This window comes from Homo sapiens, chromosome 1, assembly GCF_000001405.40.
Source record: "Homo sapiens chromosome 1, GRCh38.p14 Primary Assembly".
In the NCBI taxonomy this organism is placed as follows: domain Eukaryota; kingdom Metazoa; phylum Chordata; class Mammalia; order Primates; family Hominidae; genus Homo; species Homo sapiens.
Genome location: NC_000001.11, coordinates 12,303,983 through 12,324,010, shown reverse-complemented (window position 1 = coordinate 12,324,010; position 20,028 = coordinate 12,303,983). Strand labels below are relative to the sequence as shown.

The 20,028-nt window shown below is 42.8% G+C and overlaps 1 protein-coding gene across 2 annotated transcripts in view; it reads right to left on the bottom strand.

Annotated features, from left to right (window-relative positions):
- The window catches only part of VPS13D (vacuolar protein sorting 13 homolog D), a 282,018-nt gene that overhangs the window by 188,037 nt on the left and 73,953 nt on the right, over positions 1 to 20,028 (bottom strand). For both annotated transcript variants that reach the window (NM_015378.4, NM_018156.4), the window contains exons 26-35: positions 19,283 to 19,505; positions 15,370 to 15,580; positions 12,386 to 12,557; positions 12,086 to 12,198; positions 9,684 to 9,896; positions 5,674 to 5,939; positions 4,381 to 4,514; positions 2,047 to 2,202; positions 1,265 to 1,475; positions 231 to 305 (exon numbers count right to left, since the gene is read on the bottom strand). In NM_015378.4, the coding sequence (NP_056193.2) occupies positions 231 to 305; positions 1,265 to 1,475; positions 2,047 to 2,202; positions 4,381 to 4,514; positions 5,674 to 5,939; positions 9,684 to 9,896; positions 12,086 to 12,198; positions 12,386 to 12,557; positions 15,370 to 15,580; positions 19,283 to 19,505 (1,774 nt within the window). The remainder of the gene's footprint in view (positions 1 to 230; positions 306 to 1,264; positions 1,476 to 2,046; positions 2,203 to 4,380; positions 4,515 to 5,673; positions 5,940 to 9,683; positions 9,897 to 12,085; positions 12,199 to 12,385; positions 12,558 to 15,369; positions 15,581 to 19,282; positions 19,506 to 20,028) is intronic.

The window sequence follows — 20,028 nt, the reverse complement described above, 5'->3', positions numbered from 1 at the left end:
CTTGAACTGGGGAGGTGGAGGTTGCAGTGAGCTGAGGTGGCGCCACTGCACTCCAGCCTGGGTGACGTTATTATTACTGACCTAAGATGATATGCAGTCCAGAGAAGACACATAAAGCGTCCTCCAAACACACTCAGCTCTCTAAGTCACCTTGTGGAAGTAAGAGAGGAAATGGGAAGGAAGCATATCATCAAGATAAACAACGGGTAACAGAACCCTGTTCAAATTACCTTGACACGCCAAAAGAGCTTTGCGACAATCATCCATGCTGAATCCCAGCTCCTGCAGCCTAGCCAGCTGTAACTCTAGGAAACAAATAGCATAAAATTTTCATAAATAATTTTATGTAAATTAATCTACAAACTAATTTTAGAAAAAAAGAAAAGAAATTTAAAAACCCGTGACTAAAACATTTCATTTCTCTAAGCAAAACTGGACTCCTAATTGGAGAATTCTATCAAGTGTACCCTGAAATCTTTGAGTCTCTTCCTCATATTGACTGTGTTTTTAAAGTGGTGTCCTGGCCAGGAATTGGGGTGGGGGGGGAAGGTCTATTTCGCATCTGGCCCCTTCATTCCACCATCTGGCCCCTACATTTTCCCCTGACTGTGTTTGAAACAGCTTAAAATTAGAGGTGGGCACAGTAGTGGCTCACACCAGTAATCCCAATACTTTGGGAGGCTAAGGCAGGGGGACTACTCGAGACCAGGAACTCAAGACCAGCCTGGGCAAAATAGCAAGACCCCGTCTCTAAAAAAAAAAGGTAAAAATTAGTGAGGCATGATGGCACACACCTATAGTCCCTCCCAGCTACTCAGGAGGCTGAGGAGTGAAGATAGCTTGGGCCCAGGAGTTTGAGGCTGCAATAAGCTATGATCACACCACTGCTCTCCAACCTGGGTGACAGAGCAAGACCCTGTCTAAAAATAAACCAATAAATTAATAATAAAAGCTTAAAAATAAAACTTAGTGTTACTCATATAATTTCAGAGGAGAACTCTCAAAGCTTAAAACTCAACTTTGGCATTATCCAGGTAACTCTGGAAAAAACTGAAAGAGGAAAAATAGTGGAGTAGTTGGTTAGGGATGTTTTGTTTGTTTTTAAATTTTAAAAAATGAGAGAGTCATACTTAGGACTTACAGTTATACTTAATGACATACAATTAAACTGTGTACAATTTAGTTGTGCAAAAGAAAATTTTAAGAGTCAAAAAGAAGAAGCGTTATTAGCAAGACTGAGTGGGTTTTATAGTTAAACACCTACCCAAGACAGGATCTAAGGTGTGTCTTGTCCCTTCTCTGATTTCCTCTCCAACGCGAGATGCACCTGGAAGGTAAGTGCCAACGGAGTCTGACTCCAGGGCCACTGAGTCTGGCACTGCAGCATTAGCTTGCTCTGGGATGGATTTTGCAATGGCAAGAAACAGCTGAACATCATTATAGGAGAGTCTGATATCCAGGGCTTGTAACTGAATCTAACAAAATGTAAAAAAGGTAGCAATTTTTTAAAGCTGCATTGGTTTTACATCCATATCTCTTACAGATGTAATTCCTATTTCAACTTCTAAAAGTCCAACAGATACTGCACCAAATTTCTCATTTAAAAGATTGCAAAGATCTTGAAAGTAAGCACTAATAACCGTAAGGTAAGATGTCTCAACTATGAGGTCAAATGGTCACAAAACTGCACCATGTAGCGGGCGGATCACGAGGTGAGGAGATCGAGACCATCCTGGCTAACACGGTAAAACCCTGTCTCTACTAAAAAATACAAAAAATTAGCCGGGCACGGTGGCAGGCCCCTGTAGTCCCAGCTACTCAGGAGGCTGAGGCAGGAGAATGACGTGAACCCAGGAGGTGGAGCTTGCAGTGAGCCGAGATCGCACCACTGCACTCCAGCCTGGGCGACAGAGCAAGACTCCATCTCAAAAAACAAAACAAAACAAAACAAAAAAAGAGGTTGTTGGGCTCAGAGCAAATAAGAGTGCCTGCATAGGACAGTGTTTGAGAGCATATCAACGTATTGCACAGATTTTGCATCATTACCTCCAGGACAGGTGGGAAATCTTCACTATTGAATGCATCCATCAATCCTGAACTATTTTGATAAGAAGAATTCCCCACCAACTCCATTTGAATTTGTACGGGATCCACAATTGAAAGAGCTGTATCATGCTCATTCCCTAGTCGGCATGAAAACACCTACAGAATGAAATGCAATATGGCGAGAATTAATGTCTGATTTAGGAAGGGTCCAACTACCAGCACAAAGAGGCTATCTCAGAAGCAGTCAGCCATGTGTTATCATAAGACCCATAACAACTGCTGAAATAAATACTGTGAAGAGTGAAGCCCCCCACCGCTGCCGAGAGCACACGCAGTGGTTCACCCAGAGGAAAAGGCAGTTTAGCAATACACCCCGAAAGCCTTACAAATCTCACACCCTTTGATCCAGTAATCCTACTTCTCTCTAGGAACTAGCCAAAAAAGAAAAAAATTCACTAAACCATTATTTAATAGTTAAAAAAAATTAAGAGCAGCCAAGGTTATATCACATCTACTCAATGGAATATTTGCAGCCATTTAAAAATGACAAAAAAGACCATATGGATTTTAAGAAGACAGTTACAACACAAAGTGAAAACACAACCCAAAATAATGTTACTCCCCAACTTTAAGGAAAGAAACACACCAAAATAACCTATCAGAAATCATATATGATTATTTTCCCTCCTCACAATATCTTCATAATTAAAAATAAACATATTATTAAAACTGGGTGATAGGTATATATGGAGTTCATTATATTATTCTGTTTACTTTGTATATGTTTGAAATGTTCTATAATAAAAGGTTAAAAAATAAATACATTCATTGGGAGAGAGAAAGAAGGGAGAGAGAGAGAAAGGACTCCAGTTCTAGGACCAAATTATTTTGCATGCTCAGGAAGAGCACAGCGGAAAGAAAAGACCAATCATTTGGGTCCTTCTTACCCTCTTCACCCCCTCCACCACCTTTTTGGGACCTATCCTAGTGCTGTGAAAAACATGTGACAGCAAGGTCCTTTGCCATATTCAAAATTCATACTTTATAAATTCTCCCCTGATGATTTATCAAGCTGGTCTTAAAATTCAGATCCAATTGTGCTGCCTCAAAGGCAGGACTGAAAGGAGTTTCCAGCGATCTCAAATATTTTGCCATGTAGTTGTCCTAAGACTTCAGAGCAGAACAGTTTCATTTTCCTTTTTCCTTCAGGGGTTTCTGCTACACAAAACCCAATTGTACCTGACAGTTCATTAATCAATCAGCAAGATTCTCCATTCAAAGCTAGTATTGTGGTGGCTTGGAAGGCAGATGAATTGCAATTTCATGATCAACTCACATCACACCAGCATGCAAATCCTTCCTCTCAAACGGAGGTTTCTTTACAAGACAGAAACAAGTGGTCAAGAAGTAGAGTCCCTACAGGCTTTATTCCACTATGTTTGTCTCAAAACCATAAACCATATACTCCTAACAGTGAAAATAAGTTTTATTCCTTCAAACTTTGAGCAATACCACTGGAAAGAAAGGGGCATGAAAAGGCCGATCGTAAAGCAAAAGGAACCCCGACCAAATATCCTAACAGTGTGGCATGGGGAATGTGAGCTGAGATGAGTCAAGTACAAACATCTGATAGAAACAAGAACCTGCCACGATTCCCCTTCTGTCTCCACACCCCATGGCTTAACAAGAGACAAAGCACTTTTGGCCTAATATTGCATAATGACATTTCCGAGCTACAAAGGCCACTCCAACACAAATTATCTTCTTCATGAGATGACATGAGAGCCTAAAGCACCACTATTATCCATGCGCTCCTTTCAGCCAGGCAGGACTCTGCAGAGCTGCCCTTTTATGGATCAGGTATTCCTGAAAGGATAACATATAAGATCCTTAGCACTCTGTATAAATAGGTTTCCCTTCCCAAAGCCCTAGCTCTTCACAGGGCTGCACTCCAGGTGAGGAGAGGGATGCAGGGGAAATGAGACCCACGGCCTCACCTTCATGGACGAGGTCTGCAGAACGAGAGGGCACAACAAGGTGCCTGACAGGGCAGTGGGGACTGGAAAAGTCTCCTTGAACTTCTTGAGGAAGAAAGGGTGTAAGAGAAAGAGGCAAATGTCCTCTGCATATTTATAGACTAACACTGGGAGACTGAATCCATGCATTAGAATAGCCAGGTAGATTTGGGGAGAAAACAAAGAGGAAAAGAGGGCAAGGGTCTTCCAATTTCATTAATTCCTTCCCCTCATGAAAGTTTAAGAGGGAAAATTCTCTTCCAGATGCTTTGCTCGTGAGCCAACACGCAGTGCTGTGATCAACACATAGACTTCTTACCTCAATGCCAAACAAACTTCCTGAAAAGGGGCGATCAACAAACCGGGGCTTATAGGTGAGCACTGTGGTGCCTTTCAGAATAATGGCATTGGTGTCGAAGCAGGACACATCTTCAATGACCACAAACTCCGTACCTGGAAAGGACAACGTCGTCAATCAAGCCAGAGCTGGGAAGCTGGAAAACACCAGGCTGTTGCAAACAAGGCAGCGAGCGCATTTCCACCAGGCAACAACATGAACCAGTAAGATTTTTCTCCAAAATGTCTGCTGACATTTACTAACAGTGTCATCCTGAACCAATACTCTGCATCTGGCCACATGCAGCTGAACCAACAGAGCTCTGCAGCAGCAGGAAAGACTGGGATGTGATTTCTCTCTTTAGAATATTTCTAAACTAGACAGAGAAACTGCACCCCAGTTCTCCTGGGAGGCCTAGGAGATATTCAGAAGTTCACAAAATCATCCTTTCTCTAAGTGATGACCTGACTGAAAATTCCAGGGAGAAGACTCAGCTACTAATGCTGGTCAGGCACTATGCATCTAAGTAGCTATTTACAAGGTTGTTTACAAAGAACAGACCAATTTAATATCGAGATTTTTGAAATCAGTAAGTTTTCAACTTATGTGTATATATTTAATAGTAAATTCACTCTGCTTTAAACTGTGTTTTTATCAAAAACCATATACAGATCAAGCTTGTAACTGAACTCATGTAAAACGCATTGTGCTAGCCAGCTTCATCAAAATCACTGAGAAGCAGGTACAGGTATCAGAAACATAACAATAAATACACAAATACATACAGATGCACTAGATGAGTTCGCTAGTCAACAAATGCCATAGTAAATTCATCTATACAAAGAAAAATATTCTTTTTGTAATGAAAATAAAAATCTCCTCACTTACTTATCTTCAAAACTGAGGTTTTCACATACGAAACTTGCCTAAACTCCATAAACCACATCTGTTAGGGCCCTAAAGATCAAACGGCAAATTACAGACAGACTGTACACTGGAAAAAAAAAGACCACTGCCCAGGCGGGTGCTCGGGCCAGACACAAGCACTAGGCAGGCAGGGGACAGGGACAAGCGACCCCGCAGTCTTCAGTGGGCCAGACAGCTCCCACCTGAAAATGGAGGCCAAGACCTCTGATGCTTGCAGGTCTGTAAAAGAGGCAAATGTGTAAGTGCTCACGTGAAAAATGGGAGGCAAAAGAGCAATCATCCTGTAAGGCAGATATTGAGCCTAACATCCAAACTAAGCACCAATGAATCACACCCACATATAATCACCTGTTACATTGACCTTGACCTCCAGGTGCCTTTCATTGGACACAGGAAGGGAAGACCGCTTGGTAACTACTCCACTCTTCACAGTTTTGGGAACTATAGCAGATTCGCTGCTAGAGTTACGGTGGCGAGAAGGAGTAACATGATTTTGTTTCTTAATATCACTGGGAGTGTGGAGAAAATCATGGACTAACAGTAGCCAGTCAAATATGAGAAACACACGGAGATTGTTGAGAACTACTGTAAAGCAGGAGGAATCCTTGGTAGATCTATAAAAAGAAGACAGGAGAAAATAAATAGGAAAAAAGAAACATGGTTATTTCAATAACCTGCAAATGTACTGCTCAGTTTTGGCAGGTGGTATTCCGGTATTTTCCAAACTGCCTGCTTTGAGTATCAGTAAACTTTGAACACTGGTTGAATAACACATTCAGTGTATTACTGGTTTAATAACACATTCAGTATAATAAGTTAATCATATTTTTAAACAACAAGGAACATTTTATAAGAAAGCAGCATAGGTAGTATAGCTCAGTGGTTCTCAATCAGATGGTTTTGCTCCCCTGAAGACATTATTTCTTTTCTTTTTTTTTTAAGAGACAGGGTCACACTCTGTTGCCCAGACTGGAATGCAGTGGCACGATCACAGCTCACTGTAACTTCAAACTCCTGGGATCAAGTGATCCTCCCGCCTCAGCCTCCCAAAGTGCTAGGATTACAGATGTGGGCCACTGCACCTGGCCCTTGGAGACATTTTTTATTCACATTTCAATTGCAATTGCAACTAGAGGGGGTTGCTATTGCTATCTAGTATAGGTAGAGGCCAGGGATGCTGTTAACTAACCCACGATGTACAGGACAGCCCCATAATAAGGAATTATCTGACCCAAAACGTTGATAGTGCTAAGGTCAAGAAATTCTGGTATGATAAAGAGCACAGGCTTTGAAGTCAGAGACGCAGACTTAAATACTGCCATTTACGAGCTGTGTTATCTTACGAAAGCCACCTACCTTCTCTCAGCCTGTTTCCCTACTTATAAAATGAAGAATATTAATATGATAAGAAATAAAGCACCAGGCACAAAGCAGTCATTTGATAAATGTCACTTTCTTTCCCTATGGGCTATTTCAAGAAGATCAATGAGGCACTCCTTCTTTGACGTCTAGGATCATTTCTTTATAAATAATACCAAGTTTACACACACTAGTACTAGATTGTTTCTCTAATTGAAACTGACCTGACAGCCCAGATCTTTTGGCCCGAGGAGAACAAGTAAGATGACATTTACCAGGGATAAATGTCCCCTAAGTAACCTAGAGGTAGAGTTGGGGTGGGGGTGGGGGGACAAGTTGCCATTGCTCCGAAGTCTACATTTGACGTGAAAACCCAGCGAGGACTCTCAGGCCTGACTTCAAACCATGATGCAGTCAGGGGCTTCATCCAGGCCCTATTAGTACATCAGCAGGCCCAGCCTACTAATGGATAAGGCCTCAGATGAGTAGGACAAGAGAAACAGGGGCTGGAGCACTTGAATGCGGTTTTCTGGGTTGAACTTGGTTCCGTAAGCCCAAAAGCGACTCTGGGGTTGTAGCTACTACATGTACCTGGTTCCCTGACATAAAAGGTATTCCTATGTGGGAAAAGCTAACTTGGAAATATTTCTGAGGCTGGTTTCTCTGCTCCTCATTTCCCCTAAACCTGGCTCACTGCCTCTAGTAAAAGGGCAGCATGATGCATGGCTCCTTCTTACAGACACAGCATTTTTCACAGAAACACTCTACTCTTGTGTAATGGAGAAAAAATGTTGCCCTCAGTAAAATTTTTCCACCCCATTTTGAACATAGATTGTCAGAGTTCTGTATTTAACTGGAAAGTCACAGTGTGTTGGATCCCTTTTCTGGAAAATATTTCAAGCCTTTAAACACTGTGAAGTGATTTATATTTGACACACAAGATCCCAACAGAAGAGTAATTCTTCTTCAGACACGAAAGGCGTTCAAAAATTCCCATCTAAAGAACATTTCACTCCTCTTGCTAACAATAGTATTTCTGTTAGCAAGAGCCAAGGTAAGGCTTTATTATTTGACTCCAATTATACACCTATAATACACAAATATTTCCAGGCTCCCTGTATATTAAAAATATGATAAGAAGGAGACAACTACCTGACAGTCTAAGAAGCCAGATCAATAATAATAAAGTAAACTCAAAAAGAAATGTTTCTCGGCCGGGCACGGTGGCTCACACCTGTAATCCCAGCACTTTGGGAGGCTGAGGCGGGCAGATCACAAGGTCAGGAGTTTGAGACCAGCCTGGCCAATATGGTGAAACCCCGTTTCTACTAAAAATACAAAAATTAGCCAGCCATGGTGGCAGGAGCCTGTAGTCCCAGCTACTCAGGAGGCTGAGACAGGAGAATCACTTGAACCCGGGAGGCGGAGGTTGCAGTGAGCTGAGATCGTGCCACTGCACTCCAGCCTAGGCGACAGAGTGAGACTACGTCTCAAAAAAAAAAAAGAAATGTTTCTCCAGATGGAACAAACAGATGCCAGCCTCTTGTTCAAAGGAAACATCTTCAACCAAATGAACTGCAAAATGGGGCCATCTTATCACATGACTGCAATCAGCCCAATGACGAGACACCTGATAGGTCCAAAGACTGTTGGAAACATCATGGGCTTTAACATCACATACCCAGGTTTGAGCTCTGATTTCTTGACCTACGAGCTGTGTGACCTTAGAAGAGTGAACTAACCCTTATCCAAGTTTCTAACTTGGAAACTGCAAAATGAGGAAGAAGTCATCCCCTCTGCAGACTTGTCAGGATTATACTGAGCGTAGCTAAAGTGCCTGGCTCATGGCAGGGCCCAATAAGAGGCAATTAGGATTCCTACTCCTGAACTTTTAAAGTTCATAAAAAAATGTAAATGTCTACTCTGCTAGATTTCCTAAAGGCATATGAAGAAATCATGACCTCTCTCGAAAAACAAAACAAAACCTAAACCCTGGGGAATTCTGAACAGCACATTGAAATGTCAGGCATACAGAAACATGTAAGAATAATCCTGATGACTTTTTGTTCTGTTTTTTGCTTAAACACAAAGTTTTTCACAATCTTTTTACTTAGTGGTTTATACTTACAACATGTCTGATGACATGAAGCACTAACAGAAGGGAGGGTCTCCTTTTTGGGTTTTCACTGAAAGACTTCTTTAGACCAGGCCTAATTTTTCAGTTTTAAGGTCTATGTTCAGCCATAACATCAGCAAATGGTATATCATAAAACAACATGTTATATCAGCATAACAATGACAGCTGCCAACTGTGCCAAGCAATATGCCAGAATTACTTTAATTATTACCTCTACCCCATGAGGTGGGTATAGGTAATTTTCTATTTTATATAAGAGGAAGTTGAGGCTCAAAGGGGCTAAACAACTTGTCTAAGGACACATAGCTAGATAATAGGAGAGCAAGGTTTTCAGCCCAGATCTGTCTGATTCCAAAATATATGTTCTTTCTATATAGAACACTGCCTCCCATAATACCAGAAAGAAAAATATAACCTAATTCAAAAAGGTAAAAACTATGTATACATGGATAATGAGTCAGTAAGACTTGAATGGGTAATTCAAGTCAAACCCACCTTCCCTTCCATTATTTGTAAAGACCAAAAGTCTTTTTACTTTTTTCCTTAAACCAGCATAATTTCTTCCTTCTCCAAGCCACTTTACAAATTAAAACAGTCTACAGCTTACAAGGAGATTGATTTTAAGGCTCAATTCTTAACTACTTTATTTTTAAAGGCAACAGAGACATCTTTTGGCCAATAAATGAAACTGCAAGATTATAGGAATAATGCATTAATATACAGTACACTGCACTGATTAAGCCATTATCTATTTATCTGTCTAGTGATTCCTTGGTTTTTTGATGTTCTAAAGCCAACAAAGACGTGACCCAAAAGGGAATGTCTCCACAAAGAAAGGCAGAGAAGGGTCTGGACCTGCTACCTGAAATGTAGTTCAATCTGAATGGACCCTTGGGTGGTGCTGCTGTTCTTAGCGGGCTGAAAGATACAGCTGAACACATTCGTCATGCCAGGGCTGGTCTTCTGCCCAGCATAACGGGTGTCAAAAGCCATCATGGAATGGGAAACCAAGTTAATGGACTTGGTTTGGTTGGAAAAACTTTCATAGAGCAGTTTGCATTTCTTGAAGTCAAATCTAAAAGAGAGAAAAGAAAGCAAGCAAGATGTGAAACACAACTCTTCCATTTTACAAAAGTATATAAGTTCGAGATAACGAGCAAAATCAAAAATATATCTAAGTCCCATAAGGAGAATAACTTTCATTCTGAGTTTTCTTGTTGATTCTGTTAATAGACTCCTCAAAATGGAGTTAGTGTCACTGTGCCTTGGATCTTACTTTTCCAGTTCCAAAGAGATGATCTTGTTCATAGGAACGGCATGAGAAGTAACAATACCACATGTTTAACATATTCTGAATCCGTTATCATTCCCATGACCCATCAGAAGTCTAAGAAGGCTGTATATCCCCAAAGGATGTCAAGGGTCCCTCTGGGCCTTCATCTGTCAGCTTCTAGCTTGCCTGGATGTTTCACTCTCCAGGGTCTGTCCAACTGTTTATGTGAAACTGCTGTAGTGTACTGGGAACAAATAATACTCTTCACATGGAGAATAATTCAACTAATCTACCAACAGGAAATGCATTTGGAACCATCGTTTTTTCATAACCGAGAAAGCTGCAATGAGGAATTCATAATTACTCGGTACCATTATGACAATACATACAGAATTATTCCATATTGAGAAAAACTAAGGGCACAGCCAATCATCACAGAAAATCGCTGGGTGACGTGGCTCATGCCTGTAGTCCCAGCTACTCGGTGGGGCTGAGGTGGGAGGATCACTTGAGCCAGGGATGTGGAGGTTGCAGTGAGCCGAGATGGCACCACTGCAGTCCCGCCTGGGCAACAGAGAGAGATTCTGTCTTAAAAAAAAAAAAAAAAAAAAAAAAAAGGAAAGAATAAAATTGCTAGCTCACAAGACCACCAATGTGGGACCACAGTTTCAGTATGCAACGCTCTCACCAGCTGAGTTAGGTACAGACCGTGGCGGACTTTCAACAGAAAGACTAACTAGAAGACAGAGTGCTTCAGCAGGGAATCACTGGCCTTGAAGTCCTGTTTTCAAATGCCAAACCACTTTCCCAGTCATACGACCTTAAGCTAGTCAGAAACTCTATCTGGAAAAGAGTGATGTACGCCCAGCTTACAGGACTGATAAGAGATCAACATGAAAAGGTTATTAAGTGTGAAATGCACTTTTTAAAGTTCCACACCAGTAATCACGAATTCATACATTTACACTGACTAAGGAAGTGACAGAAATAAGCGAAGGACTAGGTAAGCATATGCCCCATTTCAAGGGAGCAATTGCTACTCCGCTTCCAGATGCTTCCAAGTGAGAACATGGACCTAGTATTGCCAAAGCTTCCAGTTTTTCAAAAGAAGCTAAATACAAACCTTTTATATAAAATCCTGCAACTTTTTGGGGCGGGAGGGACCAGGTTTCAGCTGTCACCTAGGCTGGAGTGCAGTGGTGTGATCATGGCTCACTGCAGCCTCAATCTCCTGGTTCAAGTGATTCTCTCACCTTAACGCCTTGAGTAGCTGGGACTACAGGCATGCACCACCATGCGCAGCTAGTTTTTTAATTTTTTGTAGAGACAGGGTCTCTCACTATGTTGCCCAGGCCAGTCTGGAATTCCTGGCCTCAAGCAATCCTCCTTCCTTGGCTTCCTAAAGTGCTGGGACTACAGGCCTGAGCCACTGCGCCTAGCCCCTAACTTTGAAAATGTTGGCCAGCAAGGCATCAATGCTGCACATCAAGTGGTTCTGCATCTCCCACCCCGTAACTACTCAGACACACAGCAAGACAGGACTTTCTGACTCCATCACCCTGTGTGGGACCATATTTTAGTTCCACAAAGTCTGCCAGAGCATTTAGTTGCCATTCAACACCATTCAGAGCTCATTTTTCCCGCTGGCACATCAAAACACTAGCTGCTCTGTCACCCTAAGCGACTACAACAAGCAGAGCAGCCCAGACCCACAATGGTCACAGAGTATGAGGGAGAAAAAGATCTTCACTGTTTTAAGTCACTGATACTTTGGGGTTGTCTGTTACTACAGCATAACCTAACCTATGTTGACTGATAGAGCATGAATCTAAACTTTTCAAAAGCACTGTGTAGATCAACCAAAAGACACTCTGCAGACAACATTCCATCTGTGGGCCACCACTCTGCAACCTCTGCTCTGTGTCAATGCAAAACATGTGTATTATTTGGATACTGTTACTAACAGTATAATAATATAATCAAAGGCATACCTGGCTAGGGACCCAGCACCTTCTTTTCTTTTTGGATCTTTAAGCTCCAGACTTACATTCACCATATCAATGAGGAAGCACATACAGGTGTACACTTCTCCACTCAGGACAGTCTACAAAAGGAAAATGCTCGTCAATCCACAGCTGATGATGCCATCCTAAAAACAGGCTCATACGCCAAGAAATCTAATTTGCTTGTTGCTCCACCTTCTTTCTCCAAGTGAGTTTGAGGAATAGATACACAGGGTGACCGTCAGCTGAGACTATGAGAGTGACAGAAGAACATAAGGTCTCACTCACATGAATTCTTGGATCTTGTAAATCATAAGGCCGCATAAATTCCTCTATGGGTTCTCCCAGGTTGTTCTCTAATAAGCCGCGGATCAGCTTGTATTTATACAGATCCAGAGAGCAGTGGACTGAGGAGAGATTGCCATGGATAGATATGTCTGGCACAGTATGACTTATTTCTCTATGAAAAAGAAAAAAGATCACTTACACAGACAAGTCACTAACTTAACACTGACATAGCTCACGCCCAAACAACGGGGCTAAAATGTACTCACCTACATTATCAAGTAGGTAATTCCTACTTCCAATGACAAAAATTTCATGTAGCTCCAAATGAAGCAAGTTAATATGACTGTCATGCTTCAACTACAAAAAGCCCCTTTTCTCCCAAAATTTACATTTAGAAAATCCTCAAACCAGGCCAGGTGTGGTGGCTCACACCTATAATCCCAGCACTTTGGGAGGCTGAGGTGGGAGGATCACTTGAGCCCAGGAGTTCGAGACCAGCCTGGACAACATAGTGAAACCCCATCTCTACAAAAAATGCAAAAATTAACTGGGCATGGTGGTGTGCACTTGTGGTCCCAGCTACTCAGGAGGCTGAGGTGGGGGTTCACTTGAGCCCAGGAAGTCAAGGGTGCAGTAAGCTGTGATCGTGCCACTGTATTCCAGCCTGTGTGACAGAGTGAGACCCTGTGGGAGGGAGAGAGGGAGAGAGGGAGGGAAGGAGGGAAGGAGGGAAGGAGGGAAGGAGGGAAGGAGGGAAGGAGGGAAGGAAGGAAGGAGGGAAGGAGGGAAGGAAGGAAGGAGGGAAGGAGGGAGGGAGGGAGGGAGGGAGGGAAGGAAGGAAGGAAGGAAGGAAGGAGCAAGAAATGGAGGGAGGGAAATCCTTAAACCTAGTATGAGGTAACTAATCTATTAATAAGGAAAACCTCATGAGACTCACAAAGAGCTTAAATATTACACTTGGGAAAGCAATAAAGAAAAGATGCCAAGATCTTTATTTAACTCTTTGGATTTAGTGGTAACTAAAGGCAAACACCAGTGTTTCATACTGAGCCCAGATGGGACATGAGGATAAACTCTGAATAGGTTCGTCATCTCAGCTGGGATGGACAGAAGTAAAGTTGAAGAGGGGGAGGGGCACACATCTGTACCTCATCTCAATACTAAAAAGCTTTCTCTAACCTCCCATGGGTGAACTGGGCATTGTGAATCCTACAGACACTATGCTCTAAGTATAGAGAGGGCTAGTGTTTGAAATGGCAGAGGTATATAAGAAAAGTTATTTTGTCTGCAGAGAAAAGCCGACATACAACAGAGTTTTAAAAGACAATGATGCAATAACAAAGAAAAACAGAGACGGCTGACCAAGTGCCATCTCGGGTTGCTGTGTGTGCAGTGTGAGACTGACAGGACACCTTGCATTCAGCATCACCTTCTATCAGGCCTAACAGAATACAATTATCTGCACAGAAACACTGATGGGAGTGGGGAAAGTTTAGATAAGCTGAATAGGAAAGCTTTTTTTTTGTTTTTTGGAAAGCATTGCTTGAAAAGAAAACAAAGTGTTCAATTTCTAAATAACGAAGCTCCTCTTAAGACTGCTTAGCCAGTAAAACCAAATATAGCCCATGCCAACCATAACTGAACACCAGCCAGGGAGCACTTGAATAACACGTAAGACTGAAACACAAACATCCCAGTGAGAACAGCTAAGTTGTATCATTAATCCAGAAAGAAACTAAAAAAGTGACATTAAATGACTTGCCCAAACCAAGAACTGTGAAGGGAGTGGCCAAAAAGAGATTCAAATCATGCTCTATACAAATAATAAACCTGTTTTTCTTTCTTTCTTTTTTTTTTTTTTTTTGAGACTGAGTCTTGCTCTGTCACCCAGGCTGAAGTGCAGCGGCTCAATCTAGGCTCACTGCAACCTCCACCTCCCTGGTATAATCAATTCTCCTGCCTCAGCCTTCCCGGTAGCTGGGATTACAGGCACACGCCACCATGCCTGGCTAATTTTTGTATTTTTTTTTTAGTAGAGACGGGGTTTCACCATGTTGGCCAGGCTGGTCTTGAACTCCTGAACTTGTGATCTGCCGCCTCGACCTCCCAAAGTGCTGGGATTACAGGCATGAGCCACCATGTCCATATGCCAAGGCGGGCATGCCAAGGCAGGTGGATCACGAGGTCAAGAGATCGAGACCATCCTGGCCAACATGGTGAAACCCCATCTCTACTAAAAACACAAAAATTAGCTGGGTGTGGTGGCATGCGCCTGTAATCTCAGCTACTTGGGAGGCTGAGGAAGGAGAATCGCTTGAACCCGGGAGGTGGAGGTTGCAGTGAGCTGAGATCTCGCCACTATACTCCAGCCTGGTGACAGAGTGAGACTCCATCTCAAAAAAAAAAAAAAAAAGAAAAAAAAGATCAAATCAAACATTAAATTAGAATCATGTGCTTAACTACCTGTATCCCTCAACAAAACATAAGTTCCTTCAAAGGAATTAGTTTTCTCTTTCATCACAGTAGCCCTCATGTTCAGCACATAGTAGGGACTCAATAAACATTTGTTAAATAGACGAAGAAATAAGTGAATAACTAGTTCTTCCAAACTTATCTTAATAGCACTGATTTCCACGTTAAGATTCTACTTATCATAGACAGTTATTCAGATATAAAACATTGGCTGGGCATGGTGGCTCACGCCTGTAATCCCAGCACTTTGGGAGGCTGAGGCAGGCAGAACACCTGAGGTCAGGAGTTCAAGACCACAACATGGTAAAACCCCATCTCTACTAAAAATACAAAAATTAGCCGGGCATGGTAGCATGTGCCTGTAATCCCAGCTACTTGGGAGGCTGAGGCTGAGGAGAATCACTTGAACCTCAGAGGTGGAGGTTGCAGTGAGCCAAGATTGCGCCACTGCACTCCACCCTGCCTGGTGAACAGAGCGAGACTCCATCTCAAAAAAAAAAAAAAACACTCACTTGTCCAAATTCCTTTCCACCTGCAATTTCAGCCTACAAGGCTCGGTTAAGAGGCTTCCTCCTGTCTGTCGCACAAAATAGGAAGGGAAGATCAGATCTCCACTACTATCCTCTGGTGCCTTCGAGTATTCTCTCGGATGTCTCTCTGCAGCAAAGATGTCCATGTCCTGGAGATCCACGACAACGCAATCCAGCAGGCAGACATGGTCTTCTACAAGGACCCAAGGAAAGAGAGGTAATGAAGAAAAGGGGACCCAAAAAGGGGTTGCACTAAACAAATAAAAAATGCAAAGCTCATTCTGTCTTTGAAAATGTTTACAGCTGCCTGCTTCCCCACACTGTCCACTACTCAGAAAACTGGCTGTCCAGGAGTCTCCACTATGGCAGCCAGACCTCCTTATGCAAAGCTCCATGTGCTCGACACACCCTGCCCACCCGCCTCCACTCCAAGCACAGACCGCGTCACAGTTCTACGGTGTCTCATGCCCATGCTGTGACAACAACTGAGGCTGGGGGATTGATGACGAAATCTGACTCCATAGGCAATCCCTCCCCACGCACAATGCTACCAAAAGGTTTACAAACTTTCTCCAGCACTAAAATTATTTTTTCAAACAAATACTGCCACATGTAACCACGTCCATTTCCACTGACCAGATCCAAACCACCTTCATTCTTGCCTAGACCAAAAAGAACTCTCCTCCATTAGGCCTACATAATTCCATTCTAGCCCTCACAAAACCACTCTCCCCACCAAATACCTGAGTAATCCTTAAAAAAATAAACAGTCCATAACATTCACTTATTTTATACACTTACTGGCTACGGTTAATCCAAAATTCTTTCTGTAAGCCGGGAGCGGTGGCTCACACCTGTAATCCCAGCACTTTGGGAGGCTGAGGCAGGTGGATCACCTGAGGTCAGGAGTTCAAGACCAGCCTGGCCAACATGGTGAAACCAGTCTCTACTAAAAATATAAAAATTAGCCAGGGGTGGTGTTGGGCGCCCAAATCCAAGCTACTCAGGAGGCTGAGGCAGGAGAATGGCTTGAACTCGGGAGGCAGAGGTTGCAGTGAGCCAAGATCACGCCACTGCACTCCAGCCTGGGCAGAACAAGACTCCATCTCAAAACAAAAAAGAAACAAAATTATTTCTGTAAAACTCCCCCAAATCCCTACAAGGCCCTGCACAAGCCCACTGCCTTCTTTCCCAAGCTCATTTCAAGCCATTCTCTCTCCTGCTCACTAGGCCTCAGGCTTACTGTCCTTTGTTACCCCCAAAATGCCAAGCTCTTTGCTGCCTCAACAGCCTTACAGGTGGCATGGCCCGCCCCTCTCATCTAAATTCAGTCTTCTCTCTTCTTCTGTCTTTTCCATGATAACATTTATTATAATCTATCAATATTTAAATGCTCAATGTCTTTTTCATTAGTCTATAAGTAGCACTGTAGGAGGAGCCATGTCTAACAGCATGTTAATATACTAGGGAATAAAATATCATAACACCTGGCATTACGTGGGCACTGAAAAAATTAGTTTTTTATTAGTTACTTACATTGATAAATACATGGAATAGATAAAAGTAGAGCTGATCTGCTAGAAGGGGGTAAGGAAAGTGAATGAAGCAGGCTTTGGAGATTCTCCAGGGCAGGGGTCCCAAATCCCCAGGCCACAGACAGGTACTCACAGTAGGAGGTCAGCGAGCATTACCACCTGAGCTCTGCCTACTGTCAGATCAGCGGTGGGATTAGATTTTCATTGGGGTGCAAACCCTATTGGGAATTGCCTAAGAGAAGGATCTAGATTGTGTGCTCCTTATGAGAATCTAATGCCTGATGATCTGCGGTGGAACAGTTTCATCCTGAAACCATCCCCAACCCTGTCTGTGGAAAAATTGTCTTCCATGAAACTGGTCCCTGATGCCAAAAAGGTTGGGGACTGCTGCTCTAGGGTACTGCTATGGAATCCTAGGATTACATGGAAACAGTGTGAAAACCACTGTCTTAATCCAAGACAATGTATCATTAATAGTGAAATTTCAGAAACAAATAGCAAATCAGTAGGAGATATACTGTTAAAAAAGAGACATTCTTTCTATAAAACATCCCAAATCACTTCTTAAAGGCATCCACCAATACATATGTAAGACTGGCCTTGTTCCTAATCATCACAGACGTCATAACATCAGTGGCGGCAAGCACCATATGCCGAGTGGCCCTCAGGTGCAGCCCCCTCTGTGTTCTAGATGTGCATGCAGACAGACTGGCAAGCAGTATCATGTTCAGTTACAATTCGGTTCTGGAGTCAGACTGCCAAAATTCGTAGTCCAACTCTTCCATTACTACCTCATAACCTTGGGCAGGTCAGGTTACCCAATCTCTGCAAGCCTTTGCCTCTTCATCTGTGAAATCGGGGCGGATCACGAGGTCAGGAGATCGAGACCATCCTGGCTAACACGGTGAAACCCCATCTCTACTAAAAAATACAAAAAATTAGCCAGGCGTGGTGGCGGGCGCCTGTAGTCCCAGCTACTCGGGAGGCTGAGGCAGGAGAATGGCGTGAACCCGGGAGGCGGAGCTTGCAGTGAGCCAAGATCGCATCACTGCACTCCAGCCTGGGCAACAGAGTGAGACTCCATCTCAAAAAAATAAAAATAAAAATAAAAATAAAAATAGAAAAATAAAAACCCTGCAGGAGTGTAATGTGAACAAAATAATTAATGTAAATAATGCACCACAATGTTTGGCACATAGTGTTTCACAACTACTACTACGGGGATGAAAATTATCTTGTTAAATGATCAACACAATTAAAACCACTTTCCTGTCACCTCTAGGACTATAAGGTACCAGAGAGAGCTAACAATTCCTCGGATCTATGTAACAAGACACTCAGCAGCCTCTCTCAGCTAGTGTCCTGCATCTTGCAAAGTCTCATCACACTGGACTGATCTTTGCAGCTCATCATATTCTGCCTCCGTCTCTAGCAGCTCAGAGCAGCTCCCACTTATCGGGCACATGACTCATCCAGAACACATTTAACAACAGAAAAGAGGCCAGGCCCGGGGGCTCATGCCTGTAACCCCAGCACTTCGGGAGGCTGAGGCAGGAGGATCACTTGAGCTCGGGAGTTTAAGACCCAGCCTGAGCAACATAGCAAAACCCCATCTCTACAAAACACACAAACACACACACACAAAAATTAGCTGAGCGTGATGACACATGCCTGTAGTCCCAGCTACTCAGGAGGCTGAGGTGGGAGGATCGAGTGAGCTCAGGAGGTCAGTGCTGCAGTAAGCCATCATCACAACACTGCACTCTAGCCTGGGAGACAGTGAGAGACCCTGTCTTGAGGGGAAAAAAAAAATACATAAAACCAGAAAAGCCTCCAAAATAATGTTCTCATTTGGAATGACTAATTCTTATATTGGAGAGAAGAACACCAATAACCAGATGGTTCATGTCTTTTAAACTCTGTGCTACAGCATTTCTGTTGTTGCCTAATTTACGCTAATATTTTTTAATGTGTTCTTTTATATTTTTTAGACTTAGTGGTTTGCAAGGACAGTGTCTGGGTAGTGGCTTGCAGAATGCAGGACTCTTTCTACTTATACTATCACTATCTGGTGGCAACTATTTTCACCTATAAGAAAAAAGTCCTAATAGGCTATCTAAAAATCTCTTTAATTACACTATATCGTGCTAATTTAACCCTACTTTACAAGTCATCCAATGATAAATCTACACCCAAAACTCTTAAACCTTGTAAAGCAAAATCAGAATCTCATCATCGTTAAAGAAATGCTATCTCTTCGTTAACATTTGCTTGAACACAATGCCCACCCCCCTCAGTTTCCTCAACAGTCCTGTGAATTTCCCCACCTTCAGTATTATGTTGCTTTTCTCCTCTTTTACCTGGACTACTGGACTCTTGGCCAACAGACAGTGTGGGTTGCGGCCCTTGCTGCTTGGTGGAGGTACTGGGCACAAACTCACTCTTCAGGCTTCCTAGGCTCATTCCAGCAAGAGGCATCGTGAACTGCCCCTGGGAATGGGTTCCCCTGGGCTCCTCCGTGCTTGTCGTTTTCCTCAGACTGTGTTTGGGAATACCCGTTGGGGAAGCTGAAGGCACAGATTCCTGGGAAGGAACAAAATAAAACTAGAATGCAGGAAATGGGAAGGGGGCAGCACTGGTGGTGGGACTCTATCTTTAATATCTCCAAAGTCCTATCCCAGTCCCTAGGGTCTTCAAAGACTCTATAATACTTATACTTCCCTCAGCCTCCCAGATCCCATAAACAAGAGGCTACCAGGATCACGACATTTACTGCCACAAAAAATTATCAGCAGAGATGTTACATATAGTTCAATACTTGCTGAAAACTTCTGCAGGAAGATACCATCTTTTGGCTCAAGAGCAAATGTGAAGATGCCAATTGCTTCAAGTGGTTTAATCAAGGTCAAATGCGGCAAAAGCAAGTCTCTCAGCTATATGACAGTTTGTTGCTTTGCTTTTGGGGAGGGGCATATTGTTTTAAGAAAAGACATCTAATGGCAACATGGCTCCAATGTGTTTGTACCTTCTAGATGTCTCCCCTCATGGGTTTACATTTCCCATCTAAGTAACTGTAGAAATGAAAACAAAAGAGGCCAGCCATTCC